Source organism: Homo sapiens, chromosome 1, assembly GCF_000001405.40.
Source record: "Homo sapiens chromosome 1, GRCh38.p14 Primary Assembly".
Classification (NCBI taxonomy): domain Eukaryota; kingdom Metazoa; phylum Chordata; class Mammalia; order Primates; family Hominidae; genus Homo; species Homo sapiens.
In genome coordinates this window covers 156,402,460-156,429,823 of record NC_000001.11, presented here as the reverse complement: position 1 = coordinate 156,429,823, position 27,364 = coordinate 156,402,460, and the positions used below count along the sequence as shown (strand labels likewise).

At 51.5% G+C, this 27,364-nt stretch overlaps 1 long non-coding RNA gene and 1 other non-coding gene across 14 annotated transcripts, besides 5 other annotated features; both read left to right on the top strand.

The window, feature by feature from the left end:
• The first annotated feature begins 275 nt into the window (after positions 1 to 275).
• Positions 276 to 25,572, top strand: MIR9-1HG (MIR9-1 host gene). 13 transcript variants are annotated; one of them, NR_168070.1, is made up of 7 exons: positions 398 to 448; positions 2,952 to 3,026; positions 12,960 to 13,055; positions 15,071 to 15,170; positions 21,849 to 21,982; positions 22,627 to 22,744; positions 25,223 to 25,568. It is a non-coding gene; the product is annotated as an MIR9-1 host gene (long non-coding RNA). The 13 variants fall into 13 exon arrangements; NR_135268.3 differs by lacking the exons at positions 398 to 448; positions 2,952 to 3,026; positions 12,960 to 13,055 and adding exons at positions 8,055 to 8,269; positions 11,790 to 11,912; positions 15,526 to 15,768; NR_135264.1 differs by lacking the exon at positions 12,960 to 13,055 and having other exon boundaries at positions 276 to 448; positions 25,223 to 25,572.
• Positions 7,164 to 7,665: an enhancer, noted in NCBI's record as "H3K4me1 hESC enhancer chr1:156391951-156392452 (GRCh37/hg19 assembly coordinates)". NCBI's record gives its function as "activates a minimal SCP1, AML or CMV promoter by ChIP-STARR-seq in primed H9 embryonic stem cells {active_cell/tissue: H9 hESC(primed)}" and the evidence as "EXISTENCE:reporter gene assay evidence [ECO:0000049][PMID:30033119]".
• Positions 7,766 to 7,915: a silencer, noted in NCBI's record as "silent region_1427". NCBI's record gives its function as "represses an Ori minimal core promoter by ATAC-STARR-seq in GM12878 lymphoblastoid cells {active_cell/tissue: GM12878}" and the evidence as "EXISTENCE:reporter gene assay evidence [ECO:0000049][PMID:35858748]".
• Positions 8,226 to 8,395: a silencer, noted in NCBI's record as "silent region_1426". NCBI's record gives its function as "represses an Ori minimal core promoter by ATAC-STARR-seq in GM12878 lymphoblastoid cells {active_cell/tissue: GM12878}" and the evidence as "EXISTENCE:reporter gene assay evidence [ECO:0000049][PMID:35858748]".
• Positions 8,846 to 9,377: an enhancer, noted in NCBI's record as "H3K27ac-H3K4me1 hESC enhancer chr1:156390239-156390770 (GRCh37/hg19 assembly coordinates)". NCBI's record gives its function as "activates a minimal SCP1, AML or CMV promoter by ChIP-STARR-seq in primed H9 embryonic stem cells {active_cell/tissue: H9 hESC(primed)}" and the evidence as "EXISTENCE:reporter gene assay evidence [ECO:0000049][PMID:30033119]".
• On the top strand, positions 9,395 to 9,483 carry MIR9-1 (microRNA 9-1). Its single transcript, NR_029691.1, has one exon. It is a non-coding gene; the product is annotated as a microRNA 9-1 (primary transcript).
• Positions 16,744 to 17,244: an enhancer, noted in NCBI's record as "H3K4me1 hESC enhancer chr1:156382372-156382872 (GRCh37/hg19 assembly coordinates)". NCBI's record gives its function as "activates a minimal SCP1, AML or CMV promoter by ChIP-STARR-seq in naive H9 embryonic stem cells {active_cell/tissue: H9 hESC(naive)}" and the evidence as "EXISTENCE:reporter gene assay evidence [ECO:0000049][PMID:30033119]".
• Positions 25,573 to 27,364: the final 1,792 nt, after the last annotated feature.

The window sequence follows — 27,364 nt, the reverse complement described above, 5'->3', positions numbered from 1 at the left end:
ACCGAGTCTTTCCATCACACCCTTTCTCTTGCTTCCCTTGGGGACGAGGGTGGCCTGGAGGAACAATAGCTTCCCTTAGCCCCTTCTTCCTGCCTCAGGTTAGAAAAGGCAGCAGGGGAGGTGGCAAGCAGAGTGGAGGTGACAAAGACCCCTGCCCACACAGGCATTGGAAGGAAGAAGGAGGGGCTTCGTCAGAGTGGGCTGTTATTTTGGTGGTGGTGGTGGTGGTAGTGTCTCCAGAGAGGGGCAGCACCCCCTTTTTGCTGCCTTTCCAGGGAGAGCAGCAAGAGAAAGAAAGAGAGAGGCAAGCGAAATTCCTGAATGGATAGACAGATGCTACGTCATCGGAGCTGCATCCTCCACTCCACAAGAGGCTAGGAGCTGGGGGGAGAGAGGCAGTCCAGCCGCAGGGGCCACCCGAACAGTCTCTCCTCCTCACAGAAGCCTGGTAAGTGCCCATTCGGGTCCAGGGAGGATCCCAGCCCCCTCAGACATCTAGGCTGGGAGTGGGAAGAGATCCCCTAAAATCAGTCAGGACGCCCTAACCTTCCTACTTTACCTACTGGCTAATGGAGGCTGGTGCAAAATCATCACAGAAAGAAAAGGCTGATAAAAGATTTAGGGGGGTCCCCAAAATGGATGAGGCATGTGTGTAGAGGTGGAGTTGGCAGCAAGGCTCTCACCTCCAGCCTCCTGGGCACCTATCGCTGAGCCCAAGGCAGTGGCTCTGCCCACCCGCCCCAGAGTGTCTCCTGGTTCCCCTCCTTCCCCCAGCCCATGCAGGCTGGAGACAGCTCACTAAGTTTGTCAATGGGATTGTGGGGGGGCTTTAGGGTCACGGTGCTACTGATCCTATTAATCTGCCCCTCCCTTCTCTCCACCAGACATGGCCAACATCTTAATGCTTGCACCAGAGGAGAGGCAGGAAGGAAACTGTAGTGGAGATGGGAAGGAAGGGAAAAAATGGTTCTGTATTTGGACTCCTGACCTTGTTTCCTCCATCTGGCTCTTATTCCTTTCTGACCTAGAGACTTCAGCTTTTAGGGGAGGACAAAGTCTGAGGGACTTGGGCATGGGGGGAAAGGAGCCAGATGTCCCCAGATGAAAGAAAGGTGGAGACCAAAATTGGGAAAAATCCAAAAACATTTTATAGGATTTAGATTAATTTAATTCCCCTTTCCCCCCTTTCCTATGAGCTGGCAGGTGGGAAAGGGGCTGAGTGGAACCTAAAGGCAAGTGAGGTGTCAGGGAAAATGCTTAGGTTCTCGAAGGGGAGAGAACCCTACCCCAGCCCTCTTCACACCCATCTAATGGAGGGTTTGTGTGTGTGTGTGTGTGTGTTTGTGTGTGTGTGTGTGTGTGTGTGTGTGTTTTCCTACGGAAGGCCAGGAGATATATAAAGACAGCACTTTTCCTGCCCCTAGTCCCCCACCCACACTGTGCTTTCTGGGAGACAAGATTGGGGCCATTGTGGGGTAGTGGAGGCTGGAGCGGAGCAGACTATTCCCGGAACCCCAGAGGCCAGATTGCTGGGCGAGGCTAAGGCTGCCAGCCATCATACGTGCACACACATGTTCCATGCCTGCTGGGCTGTGTTCTTCATCAACATGCTCCCCTAGGCATTGTGTATGCTTTGTCGGGGGGTGGCAGGGCAGAGATCAGTGATGAGGGGGATAACTGCCCCAGGGACCCCAGAACTCTCATTGATTAGGGTGGAGGGAGGAGCCAGAGGCCCCCTAACTGTCCTTATGTCTGTTTTCTAGCATGTCAGCAAATTGGTGTGGGGTGGGGGTAGCCCCTTCTTTGGTTTGAAGATAATTTCAGACTGAGACATCCCTTTATGAAATGGATGGGCTGGCAGAGCTGAGGCTGGGAGTCAAGTGAGTATTTGTGAGTGTTAGAAGTGGGGAGGGGGCATTCAAAGCACCCCTCCTAGAAATCAGGCTTGGATGTAAGGCTTGTCCTTGCTCCCCAGCCCCCCTTTTTTCTGATTTCCTACGTTTAGGTAGGTTATCTTCCTGACTTAAAAAAATTAGTTGTGGAATTGAGTTTGAGATGGAAGAATTCACCAGCTTACCCCAACCCACACACAAACACACATACACATATAAGTGTAAAAATACTTATCACAGTATTTTAGAAGCTAGGTCACCTGCGGTATACATGCCACTCCCCCAAATCATAATTTAACCTGAAAGCCAAATTCTGGGAAGATAAGACTATAAAGTGCTGAGACTGGGTTCATACCCAACACTAATAAAAAATAAATGCTTTGTCTTCACACCTTTTGTGTGTATGAAAAAGAGAGGGAGAAAATTGATCACTACAGGATCCTGAGAGATATACTTGGATAGGTGATAAGTAGATAGGTCACGACAGAGATGAGTGGAGAAAGCAAGAGAGATAACATGATTGAGAATATCATAAATGTGCATAACACTTTACAGTTTACACTGCGTTAGATCTAGACAGACAAAAATATATCCCTAACCTCAGCTCCTTCATTCTATCCTGAGCATGCTCTCCCATAGACCCCAGGCAGCAGGAATCTGCAAGGAGATAATGTCCATTGGGCAGGAGATTACTTCCTTGGATTTAAGTCTAAGATCTCCACAGGCTGTTTGAACAGGGCCAAATCCCTGGGCCCAAAGGTTTTGGATGGAGATGAGAGAGGTTGTGAGGATAAGGCTGGGTTAGAGTTGCCCAGGCGAGATGGAGCTGAGAGGCCCAGGCCGGAGGCCATGCCTGCGTGTCTAGGCTTTTCTCATTATCCCCCTGTGCAGCCTCAAGCCTGGCGATTGAAGAGGGGAACATAGACTATCCAGGTCCTGAAGATGCAGGACTAGGAGAAAAGGAGTGGCTGAGAGAGTGATAGGAAGGCTGGGGGTCGTCAGGGAAAGAAGGCTGGACTTCTCAAAGGACTTTAACCTTTGCATTCTCCTCCTTGACAGGAGCTGGGCATCCAAGAAGAAGCAGCCTCATTTGTTTTCTGGTGTCATCGTAGGTGGCCACCTATGGCTTTTGGGGTATTTATTTTCTTATTTATTGTTTCTGATGGTGGAGTGGGTGGGGGAAGAAAAGGAAAACTGGCCCTGTCTCACTTATGTTTTCTCCTGTTCTCTGTACCCCTCTACCCCTCTCCCTGTCTCTTCCAGCTTTCGGCCCCTGATTTTGGTCTACTCCAATTGTAGAAAGACCTACATAGTCAATGATAGGCCACCCTGCTTCCAGTTCTGTGATAGAGAGGAAAGGCATTGGGGATACAGGGAACTCTTTCCCCTTCTCCAATGGGCTCCTGAGGGCAAAGTTGGAGGCCAATTGACCTTGGGGGAGATGATTGGTTGGAGAAGGGAACAGAGATACTTGTACCTGGGTGACAGAGGTGAGAAAGAAGAGGAGCATGGGGTATGGTAAATGGGGACCCAAGGAGCTTAAATAACTGTGAGTGGGTATGTATGCCAGGGTATACAACTGCAAGCACTGGGAGGTGGTACTGCTGGGAGTATCAGTGGATTTGTCATTGCATTGGTCTGAGTTGATAAGTTTGAGTATGTGTGCATGTGTGTGTGTGTGCGCACGCGTGTATGTGTGTGCGTGTGTGTATGTGTATGTGTGTGCATGTGTGTGTGTGCGTGTGTGTGTGTGTGATGCGCAGCACCCTTGCATACTCATGCTTATGCCCCTTAAGGAGGCCATTTGCTGATGGTTGAGGGTCTTGTAGAAAGGACTCAGTCTGGACGAACCAGCCAACCCTCTACCATCTCTGCCACCTTGTTCTTACCTCCCAGACACATAAGGTTCTCAGGCAAGTGAGCAATGTGTGGGCTCAAGAATAGAACTGGGAGCAGGCAAGGAAGGCAGTACTTACACAAGCCCAAGGAATTCTCAAGCTGGCCCCTCAATAGGAGGAACATACCACTCTCTCGTGGGGAAGAAGTGTGACATCCTTAGGGACGATATCCTCCAGATTATTTCTCCATACCTCCTACCTTTTCTGCCCACATGAATAGATATTTTGTATATATATATTTTTTTCACACAGCCTCAGTATTTTTTATTGCTAATTCTTGCTTTTATTTGTGACTATCCCATAGACAATGCAGATTTCTATAGCAAAAAATGTATGATATTGTTCATAATGATGCACTTATAAGACAAATAAATATCTGAATCCACCCTTTCCCAAATGCAGCTTTCATCTGTGTCTTCAAGGCAAATTAATCTGGTAATTGGAACATAGAAAAAATATATGCTTTTTATTTAATTACCTGATTATTTCAAGAAAGTGCTTGACTGCCAAAATGTATTCTGGAATCTGAATTATAAAGATCCATCCAAGAGCTGCATCCAGAGAGCATAATTCGGGCCATGTTTTTCTCTACATGGGCCTCTTCAGGCACACAGACAATAGGCGGGCATCAGGGCTATAAGGGATGGGGGTGGGGACGGGCACTGGCAAAAAATGTGGGCTCCTAGGTTAATCAAGACACTTGCGGACTCACACCAGCACCAGGGAATCGATGTGCTCTCCCCACAGCCCCCTAGAAATTCCCTGGAAGAACTCAGGGTGGGGTCTGCAGTCCATCGCTCTATAGAACACTCCAGCTGACTGTGCGGTATGCTGGAATCAGGGGACTACTCCAACTGAGACCTTCTTAGGGATACTGAAGCTGGTGGGCCAAGCCCAAAGGGCACCTAATGCACCCATTTTACTCCAGCTGTTATGCTCCTATAGGCCTGCTGTATCTAATTAGTAGAAGGGTCTCCTCTGGTCAAAGGAGCGATCAAATAGTCACGGACCCACAACACAATAGACACAACTCTCCCCTCTGCCTCCCCCACAGATCCCACAGAACATACAACTTACCAAGACCCTCACTCCCCATCCGTAATGCCCTCAATCTACCTGATGGTAAATGCAGACTTGCAGACATACTCACGGTACACAGATCTCTATTAATTGATCAATTACTGGGCACCCACTATGCTTTAGGCATAGTGTTAGCTACCATGGACAAGAATATGTGTGAAATTGCCCCTGCTCTGGAGAGACTGTCTCATTTTCCACCCTCCAAGTAGTTTCTTTTTTGAAACTGGAACAATGGTATACAAACCAGTCCCAGTTAACATGATGGTGGGGAGTTTTCTGCTTCTTTCATGGCTGATAGCTCTTTCTCCATTGGAATAAAGACAGATGCCCTACTCACCTTTATCCTTGAGCAGGGGTGGTGGGAGACTGGGTTGTCAACCACACCCAGACAAAACCAAACAAAAAATTACTTCATTAGCAACCTTGACAGAAATGGGGATTCTATGTGGGTACTGCCAGGACAATTTAGACTAATCACTGTTTTCCTTTGTTGGGGGTCTCTCCTCATTTTATTTGGACACTCTTTTAGGCTGAATTAACTATGAAGAACCCAAAGCCTCATTAAGAGGCAGAGCGATCTTGCTCTTTATCAAGCTATTTGGAGAAATTTAGACATATTTTCAGAAGACATCTAAATATACCCATTTCCCTCTTGACCTTGGTTTTTTAGAAAGTCCAGCTGAGTCTGAATTTGACCAATAGAGGTGGAGAGGGGGAGCCTCCAATGGCCAAAAAAACCACACCTCTCTGTTATCTCCCCACTCCAATAAAAATACAGCAGTGGCCGAAAGAGAAGGGAGGTTCATGCTGATTCCAGTTGCCTCTTGCGGCACTGTTTGGTCAGCCCAGGCCAGGATAAGGGGTTGTGGTGATAAGCTTGGGCCCCACAGAGGGCAGAGGACTTGGTTGGAAATTGGTAACAGAGGAGAAAGGGGAGAGTTTTAGCTAGCAGAACAGCCCACTCTTCCTCACCGGCCCCAGCCTCCCAGGTGCTGGTGAGGGGAGGACGGATAGGGAGGAAGCTTTGCTTAAGGTGCTTTTAAGGGATCTTGTGGGAGGGCAAATGGGGAGATATTTGTAGGGGGAGTTGGTAGTATGTTTGGAGAAGCATAGGCCCTAGCTAGAATTGCTGGAATGTCTGGAGGGTACTGGGGATCCTAGAAATGGGTATGGTGTGGTTTCATGAGAAATCTTTGAGGGGATTTATAGTCACGGAGGGGAATGGCTGGAAAGCCTATAGTTTTCAGGGGCTGATGGGGTATGCATTTAGGGAATGCCTTTAGCGGCACATCAGGAGGTGAGTCTATCTGTGAGAATATTTGAGAGGGGTTCTGGGTTTTTTCGCAACTCTACTGCAGAGACAAGGACCCCAGTGCTCTGCTCCCTGAGTGCTTCATTCTAAGCTGTATGAGCACCTGGGAGGGGGCAGGAGGAAGCAAAATAGGGAGGGGACACCATCTCTGTCTCTTTCCTTCCCTCCTCATCATTGGCTGGTGTGTTCCCTGTTCTGGAGGGTGAAAAAATTGACATTGTGGAAGCGTCTAGAAAGCCTTTCCCTTGGGTGAGGGCCTTGAGACCCTGTGGCGACTGACAGAAGGAAAAAGCTATGCCAAGTCTAGCCTTGTGAGCACCCTGAGACCTGGGAAATTAGATGTTTTCTTCAGCACCATATTATCATCCTGGTAGGGAAACACCCGGCTCACAGGCTTTATCTTATTCCAAACTGCCCCCCACCCTGCAGTCGTGTTGCCAACATCAGTGGAAGCGATTATTCAGATATTCTCCAATCTTTGGGGGAAGCACCGAATTAAACCCACTGCCCACAGGCTTGCATCTAGCCAAGAACAGCTTTCAGGCTTGGCTTTGTCCTGGGCTGTGCAGACAGGCAGATAAAACAATCCGATGGGGCCTGATGACGAAACTGGTCATCCCCTGGAGCACGGCCCTGGTGGCCTAGTGTTCAAGGATCCCTGGTTATAGGAGCTGGCCCAGGTTAATCTGGCTGACAGACTCCAGGTATCTGAGTCATAGTTTTTTTTTAGTAAGGCAGTGGAGAGTAGAGTGGGTAGAAGGGTGGGGTGGCTTGGGACCAGGAATTGGAACTGCTCCCTGGCAGAGCTCAGGTAGGGGCCCACAGCTCGTTCTTCCAGCTCTACTGGGCAGCGGGATTCGGATCCTGCCTGCCGCCGAGTATCTACCTCTCAAGGTTGAGACTAGGCATTATTCAGCCCTGATTCCCAGCGCAGAGGCCGAGCCAGGAATGTCGCGCTGGGCCAGATAAGGAGCCAGGTCGGTAAAGTCCCAGACGGAACCTTGCTGGAGGGCGATCCTCCTCCCATAACCCCAGCTCTCCAGACACCTGGAGCTGGACCATGGGCTAGAGGTCAGAGTCTCACCATGTTGAGGAAGGGCAAGAAGGCGCTAGCAAGGGCCTCCATGGCTGGATGAAAATCTGTGGGTCTTGTCCCGGCTGATGCCAGCTGGAATCCTCACCCCAGCCTCCCCTACCTGTAACTTTGGTGCTGCGAACACATTCAAGAGATATTCCAGTTTCTGCAAGGCGGAAAAGGAGGCTCAGCACCGCTCAACCCCCGCATCTCCCTGTAGGAATCCCAAACTTCCAGGATCTTTCCCTCATTGTTTTGGGTTGAAAACCAGCAAGACAGGTTCCTGCCCATTCTAAAAGGTTAGGATCACAGTCTGCTAAGGATCAGAACCCGAGAAGCACAAAGAATATTCTGATGGGAGGAGGCGATAGGAGTAGAGTCTGCAGTCATCTGGTTCTTTCTGAGGGGCTTTCACCTGACCTCTTTTCCATCTTTGTGCCCTGGTGTTGGTGCAGCATACCTAGGGCCAAAATGGAAAATGTAGAACCTACAAAATGAGTGAGGTTGGAGATCAAAACCACAAATGGCAATGGATTGGAGGTGGCAGGCGGGTCTCGGGGGTGAGTGAGGCAGCAAGAGGCTGAGAATCAGCACAGAGACGTAGTAGTCCCCCGATCCCTATTCTCCAGTGGGGAGGGGCGCCCCAATTGCGCTCCCCGGCCGGCCCGGGAAGGGGGAGGGGCGGGGCCGGCGGGGAACGAGCTGGTGACGTCAGACGCGGTAGAGCCAATCAGAGGATGGCCTGGGGAGGGAGTGTGAAAGGATGAATGAAAAGTCCGGAGCCGGAGCGCGCCGGGGCCAGAGCCGCGGCAGAGGCAGAGGAGGGAGCTAGGAGGTGAGACCCGCTCCACCCTGCTCGCCTAGGCTCGGCGGAGGCTAAGAGCAGGGCAGCCTCCTCTGCCCGGCGCCCGCTGAGCCCCGGCATCTGGAACTCAGGGCCCTGGCGCTCCAGGGGCGGGAACTGGCCGGGAGGACCGCGCGGGAGAGCACGGATGGGCACCCTGGGCTCGATGTAAGTGGCCTGGCCAGCGTGGAGCACGAGGTGGGCGAGCGCCTCGGAATCCGGCGTGCCCGCGCGTCCGCCACGAGGGGCCGGCCGAGCCCCCACCCTCTTCGGGGCTGCGGTTTCCCGTTCCTGATCGCACCCCTTTCCCACCCCTAGAGCACCGCTCGCCTCGAACCCCCGGCCATTTTCACAACCCTGGGTGATCTCTGGTCCTCTTTGAACAAAGCCGTTTATCCGGGGCTCTGCAGGGCCTGGGACTCTGGTCACCTGCCCTGTCGCCCTCTGCTTTCCTCCCCTCCGCCCCTCTCATGGGTACTCTCCCGGATCTCTTCCCGGGTGGGGTCTCTGCTGTTTCCTTCTCTCCTTGAGAGACTCGCTTGGGAGTCTCTGGGTCGCCCCCACCCGCCCCCCACAGCCTTTCCTCTCTCTTTGGGTCGCCGGGATTTCCCTGCTTCCTATTAGGACATCTCTGGGGTTTTTACCTCCGGGGTTTGGCTGCCCATTTCCCCTTTTAGTCGGCCTCTTGAATCCGGCTCTTTCCCCCACAAGGGCTCCGCTTCGCTTCCAACGCCTTTCTGAGTTGGCGACGTGGCCGGGCCGGCACCGCGGCTCCCCATTTCCATCCCGCGCCAGGCTCGGGCTCCGCCGAAGGCAGGGCTCTGGCTGTCGGATGCGCCCTCGATCTTCCAGAGAAGGGCAGTGGAGACCCGGCGAGGCTGGGGAGGCCTCTGCCTGGGTCGCTGCGGTCTTCCCGGGTGGCACGAAAAGCCCGCGCGTCCCTTCCACCTGGGACCAGCGGAACTCCTGCTCCTGGCCCGAATGGGAGAGCGGGAAATGGGGCACCAGAAACTTTTTGGGTCTGGATCGGGGTCAACTCCCCGACTTCGACGCCACGGGTCATCGCGTCCTTTCCACGCCTTTTTCGGTCTCTGTCGTGTCTGTATCTCCGTGTCTGAGGTTTTTGTTGTTGTTTTGTCTCGGACTTCATTTCTCTCTTCACCCTCCCCCTCAACTCCACTCGTGTCCCTTCCCTCCTACTCCCGCTGACGGGCGACCGGGAAGCTGCGGAGGTGCTGGCGGCGGCGGCGGCCGGGAGGCTGCGTGGAAGAGGCGGCGACAGCAGCCAGGAGGCGGGGTTGGTTGTTATCTTTGGTTATCTAGCTGTATGAGTGGTGTGGAGTCTTCATAAAGCTAGATAACCGAAAGTAAAAATAACCCCATACACTGCGCAGAGGGGCCCGGGGAAAGCCGGCCTCACGGGCGGGAGGGAGAGGCTTGAGCGAGGGGCTAGAGCCGCGAGGACTGACCAGCACCAGAGGATACAAGAGGAGGAGAGAGACCTCACTGGTTCGGGCGACATTTCACCCCCCCAGCACCCCAGTCGGCACAGGTAGGAGTCACAGTCCCATTTCACTTCAGCCAGGTGCCATATTTTTCCCCCAGCAGAGTTGAGGGGGAGCAAGGAAGCCTCATTGTGGTGCCCTCTGGTGGTCCCCGCTCAGGATGGGGCCTTTTCTGGCAGTCTGGGTCACTGCTTGGGAAGCTGATCTAAGGGAGAAATCAGTTGAAATCTAGCTGCAGGGTTATTCCGCCTCCCGGCCCAGGCCTCTCCCTCCAGCGGGAGCTGGTGAACACTTTCCCACAGGCTGTCCACAGCTATGGCTGGGTGGGGGAGTTTGGAGGAAGTCACCTGAGAACACTGGTCTTTGCTTAAGTCGGCTCCTTAAAGCCATGTAGGGCTATCCAGCTTGGTTGGAAGATGAGGGTGTCTACGTGAAAATAGGAAATAGAATTGAAGGTGCCAAGGGTGGGAGGGTTGCTCAAAAATGTAAACAGGGTGGCAGAAGAACCTTTTGCCCAGTCTGGGTTCTGGGGCAGTGGAGTGCAGGGCAATCTCGGTTCCATTTCCATTCACATTCCTCCTTCCGACCCAGGACCTGAGGCCAATCTCTTTAAAAGATCCTTATGCTGCTTTGTCATTACTGACCAGAGGGGCTGAGTTGGGGCCTTTTAGGACACCCAACCTTCCCACCCCATCTTCAGTCTTGGAAATCATCTCCAAGAACAAATGGCCTCAAGAAGCTCTGAGGATCTCAAACACAAAGGAATTTGTAGCTTAGTATCTATGCTGCCCAGAGAAAGCAAAGAATTAGAGAGATTAATCAGGGCCTTTCCTAAAAGAATCCATTTATCTGGCTTGACCTAAATATTTTAAGTGAAAGAGTGTTTAGGTGCGTTGAAAGTAGTATAGTCTAGAGTCACTTTGTGGAATAGAAGTCAATGTAGCCAAAGCTAGAAGTAGCTCTGTCTGCATTTACTACAAGTCTGCATCCCATACGCCGGCACCTGGCCTTCCCAGACACGGGGCAGGAAGGAGTAATAAGGGGGTGGAAGAACTGGACAAAATGACCTTGACTGACTCCAGTTTCCTGTGTAAATTTAACATTTCCTCCCAGGACCTGATTTTATAGCTAGAAGATAATGATTCAATTATATATTATGTGGGAGAAATATTGGAGAATCCAAACTCAAAAAAATTGTGCTTCAGGGAGCCTAGAATACATATGTCTTCTTCCTTTAGAGATTTAGAGGAAGGCGAGATTAGTAGCCTCTTACTTTCTCAGCCATTTGGAATTTGGGTTTTCTGGGGGAGGGGCAGGTGGAGACTGGATTAGGGAGAAAGGGAGCAGGTTTTAGGCGAGGACTAATAATTCCTAACACTACTTCCTGGGCGCTGGGCCTGCATCCCTTTCTCTTATCTTTCAACACTGTGAGATAGTCATTATTAACCCCATTTTACTGATGAGGAACCACGGACTCAAATGAGTTGCTAATGTTACTCAGTGGTTTCCAATCCAGTGCTTTTTCCTTTTTTTTTTTTTTGAGATTGAGTCTCACTCTGTTGCCAGGCTGGAGTGCAGTGATGCAATCTCGGCGCACTGCAACCTCCCCCTCCTGGGTTCAAGTGATTCTCCTGCCTCTGCCTCCCGAGTAGCTGGGACTACAAGCGCGCGTACCACCATGCCCAGCTAATTTTTGTATTTTTTTTTTTAGTAGAGATGGGGTTTCACCATGTTGGCCAGTATGGTCTTGATCTCTTGATCTCTTGATCTGCCCGCCTCGGCCTCCCAAAATGCTGGGTTTACAGGCATGAGCCACCCTGGCCGGCCTAACCCAACCCAGTGCTTTTTCTACTGAACTTGCCTGTGGGAACAACTGGAGAGACAGTGAAACAGGGAGGGTAAGATGGGGTTGAGCTGAGAAAGGAAGGCATGGGGCACGGGAGGGGGAGGGTGCACCAAGAGAAAAGCCCTGCCTGTGAGCAGGGGCTGGGAGCTGGGATGAGAGAAGAAGCACCAAGAAAGATAGGATTCCTTTAAAAACAAAAAAACAACAATAACGAAAGCCTTTCATGTAGCTTGTTGGAAATGTGTATTTGGGATCCACTGAGGCTCATTCACATGAGACTTAGAACCTGTATCAGTAACCACAATGGGTTTACATTATTATTGTTGTCTCCTATTAGTGCATTTGACCTACCTCAGGATATCCAAAGGAGAACAGAGGGAAGTGAGGGGTTGAGAACTGACACCCTACAACGCCAGCACCTCAGTGGAAAGGAGGAATAGAGCCCAGGAGGGATGTGGGGGTGAGGGTTTGTGTCTGCCTTATGTGAGCATATGGTGTGTGCATGTGGGTGTGTGGGTGGGGTTGTCAGGAGAGTGATGGGTGACTGTGTTTGTGAGCTGTGTGTGTCTGCTTTATGAGGGTGAGAAACTGAGTGGTGTGTGACCTGGTGTGAGGTTGGATGTATGTGCTTCCATGGTGTGTGGGAAGCTCGGTCGTGATATTAGGGACACCTGGCTACATATAAGTATAAATCCACTCTAGGAACAGACACTCTTGGATTTGGAAGGTTACCAAATGCAGACATCACGGTGACACTGCTGAGTTCTCCCCACCCCCTCTGTACCAGATCGCATCTCCTCCAACTGAACCCCACAGGAGAACTGTGGGACTGGGGTGCAGGGAAGCCGTGTTAAAAGGGGCTCAGAAAGGCCTCACCAGAGTTACCAGTTAGGAAATTTCCTCTCTTGTATAATCACACCTCTGCCTGTGTCTAAGAATTTTCAGTTCTATTCTTTAGATACTGCTACATCTACTATTTTTACTGGAAACCAAATTGTAAGCTGGTTTCTTTATTCATTTCTCTCCTCAGCCCCTCATTTTAATACCCTCCTATTGAATTCTAGGTCCAGAAAGCCAAAGGCAATTTTCTCTCAAATATTTGACCCAAGTGTTGCATTATCAGCCACACCCTCACTCTTGGACAAATTCTCCTCCCACCCAATTCCAGGCATGGAAAGGGTTTTGTTGATAAGTTCTTACAGTCACAGGAATCATCCTAGTCAGCAAGCCGTGGGAGAGACAGAAATAGAAACAGCAAATTTGACCAAACCAAGGTCCATGTTTGGGTGTTTTCATTTATCAAGCACACAAATCTCTGAGCCTCAATTCAGATATTTGTATAATCAGGATAAGAAACCCTTAGGATTATTGTGTGCAGAAAATGAAGAATTCTATATAAAAGATCGTATACTATGTTATGACACTCATGGTTAAACGGTAATTCTTAGATTGCAGAAAGGTTAAAGGCTACAGTTTGGAAAGACTGATAGCATATGATTTGTTTCAGAATGTAAAAAGGGCAGCTCTCTGGCATGTTCCTGACTGAGGATCTCATAACATTTAACTTGAGGAACTTCCTCCTTTTCCAGCTTTGGGAGTCAAGGTGAGACTCCTGGGGACCTAGGTAGGAAGTATCTGAAGACTTGGGAGAGGAGGCACAGTCCTTGGGAAGCCTGATAAAGGGAAGAGGTTGGAGTCCGCGTGGCAGAATGGCCGTTGTTTTCTTTCTCCTTAATGGATATTAAGACTTATTGGTAACAGCACTTAGGATGGGTAAACTGACTTACATAGATAAATACAGAATGTGTAAATGATAATTTCAAGTTTATGCCATTAAGCTCCTGGATTCTAAGTAACTAAAAACACAGTTTATTAAATTAAAGGACAAGTTAGGTAGTGGCTATAATTAACAAATCCTATAGAGACCTGCCTATCAGCATGTAGACTTGTCTTCATAATTGAGTGACTTTAAGAAGGGATGTCTTCTCTCCCTTCGCCTCACAAACCAACATCCCCCCAGTCCCCAGTGCGATTCCTAAGGTTGGTAACCCACCAGAGTCACACAGGCCCCTATGTCTGAAAGTCTTTCTTGAAGTCTGCATGTTCAAGGTTTGAAAGTTGGAATCTGGTTATTTATTTTTTCACCTTCCTTCACTCCAATGTTCTGGGTATGGATTGACCTTCCCACCTCCCTTCCTTTGCTATTGGGACCTCAGAGGTCTTGAGGGGTGAGTATGTCTCATCCAGAGACAGGGTGTGCTGACTTCCCTAGGAGATCATGAGTTTAGGTTAATGCTTTAAAATCACTGGAGAAGCAGACAAAACTATAAAAACATTCTTGGGGCTTTGAGGAGAATGAGGAGCAGAGTTATGGAAGGAAGGGTGGGTGGGTGCATATTTAGATAGGAGAGAGAAGGGGAAAGGGGGAACCCCCTCCTTGCCACCCAGGCTCTCCCAGGGCCAAAGTGACACCCCCTCCTCCTCCTGCCCTAATCCCCCCATTAAGGCAGCTCTGAGTTTGTTATGACAGGGGCTGAAGGCTGCTGAATTGCTGTTTGCTGTGTCTGCTAATTGGACTGAAGGGTTGGAGTCTGGACACTGAAAGGGACCATTGTTGCTGTTTACCTTCTACAGCCGCCTCCCTGGGGACCCTCTGGGTAAAGGGGAGCAGCAGCACCCCCTTAGGGTCATTGCACCCATTTCCTGCACAAGGGACTGCGGTGGGGAGACAGTTTGTCTCATTGCCTTGGGGTGGTTTGAGCTTCTACAGCACAGAGGAGACAAGCCAACACCTGAGCCAGTCTCTTCTCCAGGCCAGGCCTAGGGGCCATCCAGGAGCTCCCAGGAAAGAGGATTTACATGCTTGTCTTTCTCCTTTTTATTCATTCCCTTCTTCTTTAGGGATCTTTGCTTTGCCTCTTCCTCCAGCTAATCAGGCTTCACCCCTGCACCTTTTCTGACCTGCTTTCTTCTAGGTCAGTGATTCTCAACTTGGTTATGCACTGAATCACCTGGGGAGCTTTTTTAAAAATGTTGATGTTTGGGCCCAGCCCCAGATCCATGAAATCAGAGTATGTGGAAATGATGCCTAGGCATCATTATTATTTAATGTGCACCTGAGGTTATGAACCACTGATGTAGGCTCACCTCTCCACCTGGGAAACACATACACACACGTATGCATGTACCCACATGCCTGTGGATGTGTACACGTGCACACACAAACACACCCCGGCCTTTCCCCGCCTCTCCTCCCAAACTCCTGATATCTATAATACTATCAGACAGGTTGTATGTCTTCTAAATTATTATTACTAAATTCCTTGTAGGAGCCTTAGCATTTAGAATGGAATTTAGAGGTCTGTACTTTATCTCCCACCTCAATCTGAGCTCTTCCCCAAGGGGAGGGACTATGATTCCATCTCCCTGTGGATGTCCAAATAGGATCTAGAGGAAGACTGAGCTAAATTATCAGAGATTCAATGACTTTTGTGCTCTTCCTTCCTCAAAGTAATATTGGCAATTTGGAGGTCTTCAGAGAGGAGAAACATTCTTCAGGTATCATCTTTCCCTTTTCTTACTGTTTCCAAATGTTTTTGCTTCTTCTCTTCCCTTTAGCTTCTCACCTGGGGCGGGTGGGTTCTGCACCACCCTCCCACCCTCCTTCCTCCGTGTGGACGATAGAGCCACATCCAGCACCACGGACAGCTCCCGGGCGGTGAGTGAAATGGCCGTGCTGACCCCCTTTGAGAGGGTTAGGAGGGACCCTCCTGTCTGTACAGTTAGCTATCAAAGATTCTAAATTTTTGAATCTGTGGGAATTGTTTGCAGTCAGCTTTGGAGTCTCAGGGAGAGGCAAAGGCTGAGGGAAGTTGGCATTCTTCTCTCCGGGCAATTGGGTTTGTCTTCATGTTGGGGAGTCTGAATGAGAAGGGCTGCCCCAGTAGTAGGAAGAATGAAGGTTATATTTCAAGAATGATTTAACCTAGGTCATGTAAGATACGGAGGGTATAGATCAGGTAGAGCTGAAATGAGCCTTAGATATCATCATTCCTATATTCCTCATTTTACAGATCCCATGGGAGTAGAAGAGGTGTGAGCAGGTTGCCCAGCTGGTTAGCGGAAATGCCAAGATCCAGGCTCCTGAATTTCAGCCTGGCCCTTTCTATCTGTCTGATACCTCCTTTACGAGTCTCTCTGCCTGCGTTGTGTGGAGCGGGCCTGCTGCTGGTTGGGGGAGTTTGCAGGTTGCCCCTATGCAAAAAAGGACAGGATGCATGACTGGCATGTAAGGTGTTCAGGAAAACCAGGAAAAGGTGGAACAGACTGCTACCTCTGTCTGAAGTGGTTTGGAGGGAAGGCCTCAGGGACAGGGCATACCTAGCAGTAGCTGGCAAGCCCATGGGAGAAAAGGCAAGGGGGCAACCATCTGCCAGGGCACAGAGGCCAGGGGATGGCCACAAGGAGTCTCCAGAGGCCAGTGGGAGTCATGCAAACTGGAACGGGGCCTGGGAAAGGCCCTTCTGTGTGCCCAGGCCTGCCTCCCCAACACCGTGAGCCTAGAAACAAAGGGGCCATTCTCTCTAGGATTTGATGCTGCCATCTCCGGCTGGCAGTGCCAGGTGGTGGGGGCATCGGGGGTGTCAATCCATTATCCCCCCCAACTCCTAGGTCCTCTGAGGCTGGATGTTGGGGAGGTGGGTGTTCTATGCTATGTTGCTATGGCAACCGCCCCCCCACCCCCAAAGTACAAAGAGAGGCAGCTTTCACCCCTACCCCCAGGAAGAACCTGGGTCTGGCTGGGAATCTTCCCTTGAGAATCCTCCTTTCTGATGCACAAGCCATGGCATGCATAAGCGTCACCCTCTTTTCAGCACTGGAAGCTGAGGGTTTTGACAGCGGCAGGCCACATAGGCAAGGAAGCTGGTGCATGCAGTGTCTCTGGGCAAGGTTATGCAAGTGAGTACCAGCCCCTTATACTTAACCCCCTCTCTTCCCAAGCTCGCCTGCCCCTCACCTACCACAGCCAAGGACATCCCAGGCCTTCTCAGCTGAAGCGATGGGGCCTTGACCTTCTACTCTTTCCCAGAAGTGAGGGACACCCGGCTACCTCCAGCAAACCTCCAGGCTGTGGGAACAGAGAAGAGGAGGGGGCCATTCCTGCCACCCTCCATCTGCACCCTCCGCCATTACTCATTAGGCATTCTGCCCCCTCCTTCCGCTCGTTAAGCCTGATTTGCATGCATTTGCATAATACAGTTCATTTACATTCCAGGAGGCTCATGGTAGAAGCCAGGAAAAAAGGGGAGGGGGGCTGGAGAAGAGAAAAAGGGGGAGAGATTTTGTTTTCATCAAAGTGTTGGGGGAGGGACTAGGGGGAGGTGGCAGGAAGAGGACAGAAATAAAAACTTACACTACTTTCTTTCTTCCTTTCTGCCCTCCCTCCCTGAGCTGGACTCAAATGCCAAAGAGAGATGCCAAGGGGCCAGCTTTTCTGTCCTTTTTTGTCTTGCTTCCTCCGGCCTTGGCTCCCCAGCCTGGCCCCCCACCTTGTTGGGCTGAGGCTTCAGAAAGAAAGAGGCAGGGGTAGGAGGCAAGGCTGTGGGAACGGAAGCGGAGGGTGAGGGAGGCCGCCATCTTAGGTAACTGGCGCCTGTAAGATGGCTGCCTGACCAGGTGTGCACTGAAAGCCTACCCTGGTTGGTGGACATGGAACAGACTGAGGCCATAAGAAGGACTTCCTGGCTGACCAGAAATACTGTTGAATCTTCCTGTTAATGGAATTAGGAAGAGAGGATGGAGAGAGAAGGAAGGAGGGAGAGACCATGAATGGCGGCCCCCAGAAGAGATGTAAGGTTGAGCACAGGAGCAGGGGTGGTAGAGAGGCCTCAGCACTGGGCTTAGTTCCCAGACTACTTAGAGGACTGTGGGTAATAAGAAAAGTACTGGAGGAATCAGAATGGGGGAATATCAGCATGAGGAGAGAGAGAGTAAGATGTGGCCAGGCAGTATCATCTGCTAGTTTGAGGGTCTCTCTGGGGCCTGTGAAAGGTGACTGTGTACTTGAGGTGATGCTCCACCTTCTCTCCTCAGCCCAGCACTCTGGTGAAACTGCATCCTCTCAGAGGCCACTCACAGCCCCCTCAACAAAGACCACTGGCCCTTCCCAAGCCCAGTCCTCCTTGACCTGTATGGAAAATGTTATGCCATTTTCTCAGTCTTTTCCTTTGGCCTTCTGTTCTTCTGTTACATCCATGATCATCTGTTCTTGGTTCCATTCATTCAGTCCTCCGGATGGACCAGTTCCTTAACTAGAAGTGGTCCCCAGGTTCTGCTGGTAGCTTGTTTTCTCTTCCTTCTCACTCTTCTCACTCCACTTTTATCACTTTAACCATCACCTGAAGTTATAAATTCTCCTGTGTTTCATTTTTCTTTTCTTTTCTCTTCTCTTTCTTTCTCTCTCTCTCTCTTTCTTCTTTCTTTTTTTTTTTTTTTTTTTTTTGAGAGTCTTGCTCTCTCACCCAGGCTGGAGTGCAGTGGCGCAATCTCAGCTCACTGCAACCTCTGCCGCCCGGGTTCAAGCAATTCTTCTGCCTCAGCCTCCTGAGTAGCTGGGACTACAGGCACCCGCCACCACGCCCAGCTAATTGTTTGTATTTTTAGTAGAGACAGGGTTTCACAGTGTTAGCCAGGATGGTCTCAATCTCTTGACCTTGTGATCCGCCCGCCTCGGCCCCCCAAAGTACTGGGATTACAGGCATGAGCCACCGCGCCGGGCCTAGTCTTGACCTCTTTTAAACTCCAAATTCGCACCCCCAACTGCCAACTACCACCTGTGGTCCTGCCATTTGTCCCCAGATCAGATTGGAATGGTACATCTGCTTGACCAAGCCTGGATCACATGCCTAGGCTCTAGCTGCAAGGAGAGCCCAGAAAGTACCTGTGTTTTTAGCTTCTGTAGTAGCATAGAAGTACAACCTCCCACCAAAACCCAGGAGGTGGTCCAGTCCCCAGGCAGTTCGGATGCTCCCTCCGCATTGTGCTTCTGCTGCCTTACCTCTATCGGTGGCCTCATTAAACTCCTAGGCCCCCAGGTTCAACTCCTGAACATTTTCCTGGACTTGTCCCCACATCCAAATCAGCCACATCAAAACCCATCACTTCTTCCTGTGTAGCACCTCTCATCCATTCCCTTCCCTCTGGTACCCCTGCCTCCATGTCAGCACATTCATTCAGCAGGCACTGAGGGTCTCCTGTGTGCCAGGAGCTATGCTCAAGGGGAGTGTGGAATACAACGCTGCTCTGAGGAACTGGCAGTCTACTGGGTGAGGCAGACACATGAATGATTAGAAGACGGTCTGGAAAGCATTGTCCTGCAGACCTGCACAAAGTGCTGTGGAGGCATGGGGAAGGGAGCCGGGGGCCACCTCGGGGAGCTCAGGAAGGCTTCCTGGAGGACGCCAAGAGATAAGCGATACAAGATAAACAGGCATTTGGCAGTCTACAGTCTGGGGAAGTAGGTGGTGGACAGTCCACAGCATTCGAGAAGGCAAGTAGGTAAGGAAGAGCAGGGTATGTTTGGGGACTAGCATGGCCATCGCAGGGAGTCTGCTGGGAGGAGAAGGGAAACAGAGGTAGGAATTCCCCTGTAAAGCGCCTTATGTGCTATACCAGGGAGGCTGGGGCAGTTAGCTGACAGCCTCAGAGGTGCCAGGTGTAGGGCATGGCTGGAAAGCAACACATAACCACTCCTAGGAGGGATGGGGACTCCTGCATCTGGCTGTCCATTGAGACCAGCCAGACATTTAACTGGCTCTCAGCTAGTTCCAAACAAATGAAGGACATATGAAAGACCTGGAAGCCACTTGAGGAAGGGATGTCTCTACCACCCACCTTCAGAATCCCTCCTTCCCCCACGACATGCGGGGGCAGCAAGCTTATGGGAGCTTTCTGGGGAGAGATGTGGAGAAGCAGAAGTTGGTGTCCCTCAGCACAATGAGCACCCTGATGTCGGGGCAGGGGGATGGGCTGCTGGGGGTTGGGGGACAGGGATACTGGCTCTGACTTTGTGGGGCAACAAGCTAGTCTCTGAGCTCTCTTATGAAAAAAAAAGGAAGGGAGGGAGGGAGGGCCGGCCGGGCGCAGTGGCCCAAGCCTGTAATCTCAGCACTTTGGGAGGCCAAGGCAGGTGGATCGCCTGAGGTCAGGAGTTCAAGACCAGCCTGGCCAACATGGTGAAACCCTATCTCTACTAAAAATACAAAAATTAGCCAGGCATGATGGCCCATGCCTGTAATCCCAGCTATTCAGGAGGCTGAGGCAGGAGAATCACTTGAACCTGGGAGGCAGAGGTTGCAGTGAGCTGAAATCAGGCCAATGCCCTCCAGTCTGGGCAGCAGAGCAAGACTCTGTCTCAAAAAAAAAAAAAAGAAAGAAAGAAAAAGAAAAAAGAAAGGTTCAGTGGTCAGGGCTGTGTGACACAGGGGGCTACAGCAAAGCAGCAAAGAAGGGGCACAGTCCTGGAACCCTCCTGAGGGAGGGAGTTGGGGGTGAGGTAGTAGCCAGGGCCAAGGCTCCGAGGGAATTCTTCCTCAAGAAAGCGGATGAGAGGCTGGAGAGGCAGTTGGGAAGATGGTGAGGCTGCTGCTGGCTGCTGGGCGGAATGTAAGTGGGGGTGCCCACCACCGCCCATCCCCCAGGCCCGGCTTGTGCACAAAGACTTCTCTGTGAGTGGCCATGGAAGTGGCCCTGTCAGGTGAGGGGGCTTAGCTCCCAGGGAGTGGGGTGGAATGGGGCTGGAGGAAGGGAGGGCTGAGAGGTGGCCTCAGGCTTTAACCAGGTCTGGGCAGGAAGGAGAGAGAAGCTGAAACCAGGCCGGGGTCTCACAGTGAGGCCGTTCATGGTCTGGTCCAGCTGTCCCCAGGATGGGCTCCTCTCCATCATCCAACCAGAGACCCAGGGCCCCAGCACCAAGGCCCTCACCTGCCCCTGCCTTCTCCCCATGTCTTCCCAGCTATAACTCCTGATCCTGCCAGGCCTCTCCAGCCTTCCATCCCCTGCTCATACATGCTGTCTCCTGACACTCTTGGAACTGACCCTGCTCTTGGGACTGACCCTGCTTGAGCTTCTCTCATCTTCCCAGCATGGGGTCTCCTTCCATCTCCTGCACAGTGCTCCTGCTCCAGGGAGGGCTGTGTTGAGAGGGTAGAGACACAAGATTGACCAGAACTAAAAAGGAGTCCCAAGGCCACCCCAGTCTCCACACCCACTCTTGCCTTCCCCAGGAGAGGCTCCTCTCCTGGCCTGGCCTCAGTGTCACTTACTGCTAATCATCGATGTGTAGAGACCTTTCTCCCATCTCCCCACCACCAAGCCCTTGTTGAGCACACTGCACACTGGCTTTTTATTTTTATTTTTTGGAGACGGAGTCTTGCTCTGTCACCCAGGCTGGAGTGCAGTGGCGCGATCTCAGCTCACTGCAACCTCTGCCTCCCAGGTTCAAGAGATTCTCCTGCCTCAGCCTCCAGAGTAGCTGGGATTACAGGTGCCTGCCACCATGCCCGGCTAATTTTTGTAATTTTAGTAGAGACAGGGTTTTGCCATGTTGGCCAGGCTGGTCTCGAACTCCTGACCTCAAGTGATCTGCCCACCTTGGCCTCCCAAAGTGCTGGGATTACAGGTGTGAGCCACTGTGCGTGGACTGCGCTGGCCCTTCTAGTGAATGTTTGGGTTCAGGGTACACGAAGCAGCAGAATGCTGGCGGACACCACCTCAGCTTGCAGGCTGCTCTGGGTTTGATAGTCAGTGGGGCTTTGTCCACAGGAAGGACAGGAAAAGAAGGAGCTTTTGGTTTTTGACTCTGGAATTGGACAGGCTGGTCAGGATACAAATTCTGGCTTCCCCCACTTACTAGCTAGGTGACCTTAGGCAAGTCCCTTCATGTCTTTGGACCCTAACTGCCTTCCTTGGTTATCCTGAAGATCAAATGGGGTGATGGGAATGAATGTTTTCTAAGGCTGTATGCAGATGTTTAGTGTTAAATGCTAAGTGCAGAGGGACACAGTTATGGGGCCATTGAGGTAGGTGGGGGCAATCAAGGAAGGCCTCCTGGGTTGTGAGGGCCATGGATCACCGGGTGCAGTCCATAACGGAGGCCTGACTGAGAAATGGGGCTGGGCTCCATGGCTGGGGCTTTTGTGGTCTGAAGGAGGTGAGCATCTTGCTGAGGCTGTTTCGAGAGGGACCCGTTGTTAACAATTAGGTGGTGAACTCCACAACGGCAGCCTCTTTTATCCACTGGCCAGGTGTGAATGCCACCCAACATACCAGGAGGAGGGGACAGGTAGGGTGCAGCTCTGCCACATTGCCCCTAACCTGCCCTGCTCCCTCCCTGCAGCCTTCATCTCCTCGTCCTCCAGGCAGCACAAGCCATTGTGGAATCTCCACCAGGTGTACAGAACGGTGCCTCTGCGTCCTGCCACTCAGGACCTCTCAAGTCCCCGATGTGATGGCTCCTCAGCATGATCAGGAGTGAGCGTAATTCAGACCTATTTAGATCCGTCAGCCCACGGACCAGGGGGACCTTGAGCAGGACAGTCTTTTGTCTCCAAGCAGTCATTCCCTGTTATACAAGCAAGAGTCAGGAGGAGGAATGGTTTTGGCATCATCCCCCACAGACAGCAATGGGGCCTTTAGGCCTGGAAGGAAGGACCAGGCTGCGGCTGGCATATGGAGGTTGAGCCCTGGGCACGGGGCATCAGCTTCACCCGGCTGGGGATGCCTTCTGCTGGGTTTGTCCATCTGGCACCAGCTGGCTTCCCAGCACCGCCCCCACAACCAACCAGACTCCTCCTTCTGCTGTTGCCATGGCAATTGGCTGCCATATTGTACCTCAGAGCACTAGCTCCTATCTGGATTTTCCCGCGGGGTTCCTAGAGGGTGGGAGATGGGTCTCCAGGGATTTATCCCTTTCCCCTGATATCTATCCAATAAAAATTCATAATAACATATGATTTTTTAATAGCCTAAGTGGAGGATTACTATGTGTCAGGCTCTGTGCCAGACACTCTCTACATGTTATTTAATGTGGCTAAGAAAGAATTAATGAGATAGAATTCAAGAGGTTCCCATCCAGTTTCCTGCTACTACGACAGACTTTTCCTCTCTCCAACCAGGAAATTCCATGATCTTGCTTATTCCTGTCTTGGGAAGTCCTTCTCCATGTCTAACCAAGATCTATATGGCTATAGCACCAGCTCTTTGGCTCTTGGCTTGGCATGGCTAAGTTGGGAGGTAAGGAAGGAATGCCACCTAGCTTTAGTTACTTCATAAAGGTTCCTGGACTCCAGCTATTAGAATAGGAAAACTGAGACTTGTCTAGCTTGGTGAGAGGTCTGAGTGCCCCTTAAAGACTTGGGAGCCCCCACCCAAACCTTTTGTTTACAGAAGAGGAGTAAATGCCACAGAATGCTTTGAAATTCCCCTTCTGTGCCCCATCAGCACCCCAGAAAGAGGAGCCGGAGACCATGGAATAGCAATAGTCTCTCAGGCCCTCTGGGCTCCCCCTTTGGAAGCCAGTCTCCCAGCTCCTGCCCTGGGGGGAACGTTCCAACAGGGTCTCAGAGACATCCTGGGATAATGAGGGTCCCCTCCTTCTGGAGCCCAACTGGAAGGCAGAGAATGGTCACTTTGACCTCGAGGGGCATCTATAAGGGGCACTAAGCAGAGGCCAGATTTGCTGAGGAAATCCTGAATGAGGAGCAGGTGGAGAGAAAAAGGAGGCCATTCTCAACTGAGGAAGGGTGGGCTGGGAGGGAGGGGCCAGGGATAATTTATGATATCATTGCTCCCCCGCCGCACTTACTTCCCAGCCCTCTGCTACTGTACCGTTGCTAGGAGAGCCTGGCTCTGTCTGGGGCTGGGAGGGTGTAACAAGCGGGAGGCTGTTCCATCTGCACTCCTCCTCCCCCACCCAGGGGAGGGCACCGCATGGAGCTGCATCCACCACCCCTTCCCAGGCCCTGACAGACACCAGTCTCTTCTGTCGTTCCCCCAAATCTAGCCACTCAAGGGATAGCAGGACTCCCAGTTGGGCTGAGGATCTAGAGCAAGGAATGGGCAAGAGAGCATGGAAGGAGACACACTGGCAGACTTAGAGGGGCACTGAGGAACAGACAGCCCACCTTGAGTCCTGGCAGCCAGCCCGGGTCAGGAAGAGGGCCAGAGGGGGTCAGGGAAACAGGCCTGGCAGAGATCAGGTTTGGAGAAGACAGGGTCGTTACATTTGAGGGGCTCCTGATATGATGGGCAAGGCAGACTTCTCATCCCCACTCCTCCATACTGTCAAGATCCAGGTTGGAGAGCTGGCAAAGGTAGGGGGAGGAGGAGCTGGGGAAGGGAGGAGGGATGTGAGCTGGGAGAGGCTGCGAAGAGTCTAGGAAGAAGAAAGGCCACACTCGTCTGAGTGGAGCTGGGCCATGCAGGGCCGTGGCCGAGATCCCCTCCTCTTTCTGAAACTCTTCTCAGATCTTAAGGCTCTTGGAGAAGTCAAGGGAGGTGAACTTTGGGGGTTTCCAAAGCGGCTGGCTCCCAACCCTGGATGGGACAGGAAAGGAAGGCTGTGCCCACAGCTGTGCCTGACACCTGATTCCTGTGCAGCCCCTACTGGGTTTATTTGCCTTTCCTGGACATAGCTTCCCCAGCCCAGGAAGGAAGGAGCTGACCCTGATTTGTGCCCATTTGGTTGTGTAAGCCCTTTCATAGCCATTATCTCAGCTAATCTTCCCAACAGCCCTGAAAACCGGGTGATATTGTCCCCACTTTATGAAGGAGGAATCAAAGCCTCAGGAAGGCTAAGACACTTTCCCAGAGTCACAGGACTGGTAAATTGGGCTGGGCTTCAAGTGGGTCTTCGTAGACCCCAAAGCATATGTCCCCTTCCTCCCCTGTGCTGACTTCTGAAACACAAATGGAGGGACCGAGAGAAGAGAGGACCAGATAGGCAGGTGGAATTCTTGGCATGTTCTCCAGTGTAGGGGTAAAGTCTGAGGGATGATAAACATCTTGCAGGTTGAAGACAGGATTGGGGAAGAGGCCATGGGAGCTGTGGAAGCGACCAAAGTCTTCCAGGCTGGTCCTTAGCCCAAGTGCATCCTGCACCCTGCCTTCCTGAAGCAAGTCCCCTGGGCTCTCTGCCTAATCTCTCCCGTTCTTGGGATCTGAGTTTACGCCTTAGGCATTTCCCTCACCCCCCATTGCCTTGGATGGAGCACCTGGAAGAGGTGGAAGAGGTGCCTAGACTCAAGCCACTGTCATGGTGGATCCCTTTGTGATGACCCCTTCCCTAGCTCCTCACCTTGCCTGATGGAAGTGAGCTCCTTCCAAGATGGCTGGAAGTTTGTCCTCTGCCTCCTCCTAAAGTCTCCATCCGAAGTGTATTTTTTGGCTGGACGTGGTGGCTCACGCCTGTAATTCCAACACTCTGGGAGGCCGAGGCAGGTGGATCACTTGAGGTCAGGAGTTCGAGACCAGCCTGGCCAACATGGCGAAACCCCGTGTCTTCTAAAAATACAAAATTTAGCCAGGTGTGATGGCATGCGCCTGTAATCCCAGCTACTCAGAGGCTGAGGTACGAGAATTGCTTGAACCTAGGAGGCAGAGGTTGCAGTGAGCCGAGATCATGCCACTGCACTCCAGCCTGGGTGACAGAGTGAGATTCCATCTCAAAAAAAAGAAGTATTTTTCTTTACGCTTGACAATTTTTCTTTTCAGACCAAAAAGAAGAATGTACTTCATCTGGTTGGGCTGGATTCCCTCTGATAAGCCTTCCCAGTTGACTGAAAGATGAGGCTAGGCTCTAGCAAGTTGAAGTCAAACCAGCTCCTTCAAGAAGCTTTGAGCAGAATGAAGTGGGGAGGACCCAGCTTCCAGCCCAGGAAGCCCACTGTACCTGGAGCCATCTGGGATAAGACTTTGACCCATGACTCCCATATCCACAGCCTGTCCATCCTAGCCCATCCCAGTTTATCCTGTATCATTTGAGCTGGGATTCCCACATCCTCTGAGTTGGAAGTCCCATCTCAAGTCTTCAATAAAGACTCTTGAATATTGAATCACATTAATAGTGGTAGTGGATATACCTGGACAGGGTTGGAAGGGGAGGGGCTGCAAGAGAGGGGGCAATACTGGGCTCCTTTCAACAGAGATCTGTGATACAGAAGCCAACCTTGCAGCAGAAGCGGGGGAGCCTCTAATACCAGAACTCCTACCTGGTAGGGGGTGGGGCGGTGAGTGAACATCTTGGCTGCTTCCACCGCCCTCAGCCACCCCAAGGCCAGAACTCCATCCGTGATCCGGTCAGTCCCAAATCCAAGTCATGGGCTAATGCTTCCATCCAAGGAAGCACCTAGGTGCCCTACTAGGGACCAAGAGAATGGGAGAGGGTGGTGATGCTCCCCTAGAGTGCCTGTGCAGGAGGTCACTGGGTGGCCTTCTGTCTCCTCCACAAAAGGACTCTCATAAATGTCCTCCTGGGTTTGAACAGACCACATAGAGGGAGCACTCCTGCCCCAAAGGGTCTTCCATTCCTGCTTCTTCTCTGTCCACCCTCAGTAGAAACATAAGGGAAAGAATATGATTATTAAAAGGGATTCAGGCCGGGCACGGTGGCTCACGCCTATAATCCCAGCACTTTGGGAGGCCAAGGTGGGCGGATCACAAGGTCAAGAGATTGAGACCATCCTGGCTAACACAGTGAAACCCCGTCTCAACTAAAAATACAAAAAATTAGCCGGGTGTGGTGGCAGGCGCCTGTAGTCCCAGCTACTCAGGAGGCTGAGACAGGAGAATTGCTTGAACCCGAGAGGCGGAGGTTGCAGCGAGCCGAGATCGCGCCACTACACTCCAGCCTGGTGACAGAGCGAGACTCCGTCTCAAAAAAAAAAGAGGGATTCAGATTAGACAGCAAGTAGGACTTCCCAACAATAACAAGGCCTGAGGGGGAACTTGAGGGGGCAGGAAAGCCATAGCAAAAAACTAAGACTGTGCTCTTGACCCCATTTTCTTCATAACACATCTGTATCCAACATGCGCCCCCAAAAGATAGGCCCCTTCTCATCTCTAGAGAGCCTTGCTGGATGATGTTAACAGAGCCCAGACTAGCAGCACCATTTAAGCTCTCCATCACCTTCCAGAAAGTCCTTCCTCCCTTCCATAATCCCTCCATGGAACTAAACTTTGAATCCTGGAAATTTTCTAAATGAAAAAACTTAAGATAACACACATGACACAATTCTAACAGCACAAAAGAGAAATTACATCTCCTTCCTACCCCTGTCCCCAGCCACCCACCTCCTCTCCCAAGAGGAAACAACTGGTACCTGTGTCCTCCCCGGGTTACTCCGTAGACATCCAAGCACATGTGTATAAATTCCTCCTTTCCATTTAAACACTGACTGCAGCCTTTTCAGCCCTTCTAGACCAGGACTCTTAGCCTGAGGTCAATCTGGACCTCAGGGGATGATTGCAAATACTAAAATTGCATGCAGAATGCTGGCCAGGCGCCTGGGCACTATTTCCAGGAGGAGGGCTCACGTAATGAGCCACCTGCTCTAGCTCAGTTCCTCATTTCATAGAGGAAACTGAGGCCAGAGAGGAGAAGGGCTATGTCCAGGGTCCTCAGCGTGGTGGGGGCCCATCAGGAGAAGAATCCCAGGCTCTCCCTGACCTATATGTCCAGGAGCCCCAAAACTGGGATTTGGAGGGCTGACTGAGACCGGGGATGCTGCTGGGAGGAGGAGGCAATTTCCTTTGCATCACAGTCTGGCATATCTAAGGGGCTGAGCTCAGTCTCACCACGTCTGGGCGCTCATCAGTGCTTCTGAGGTTCCAGCCTTCATTTTGGGGCCCTCCCAC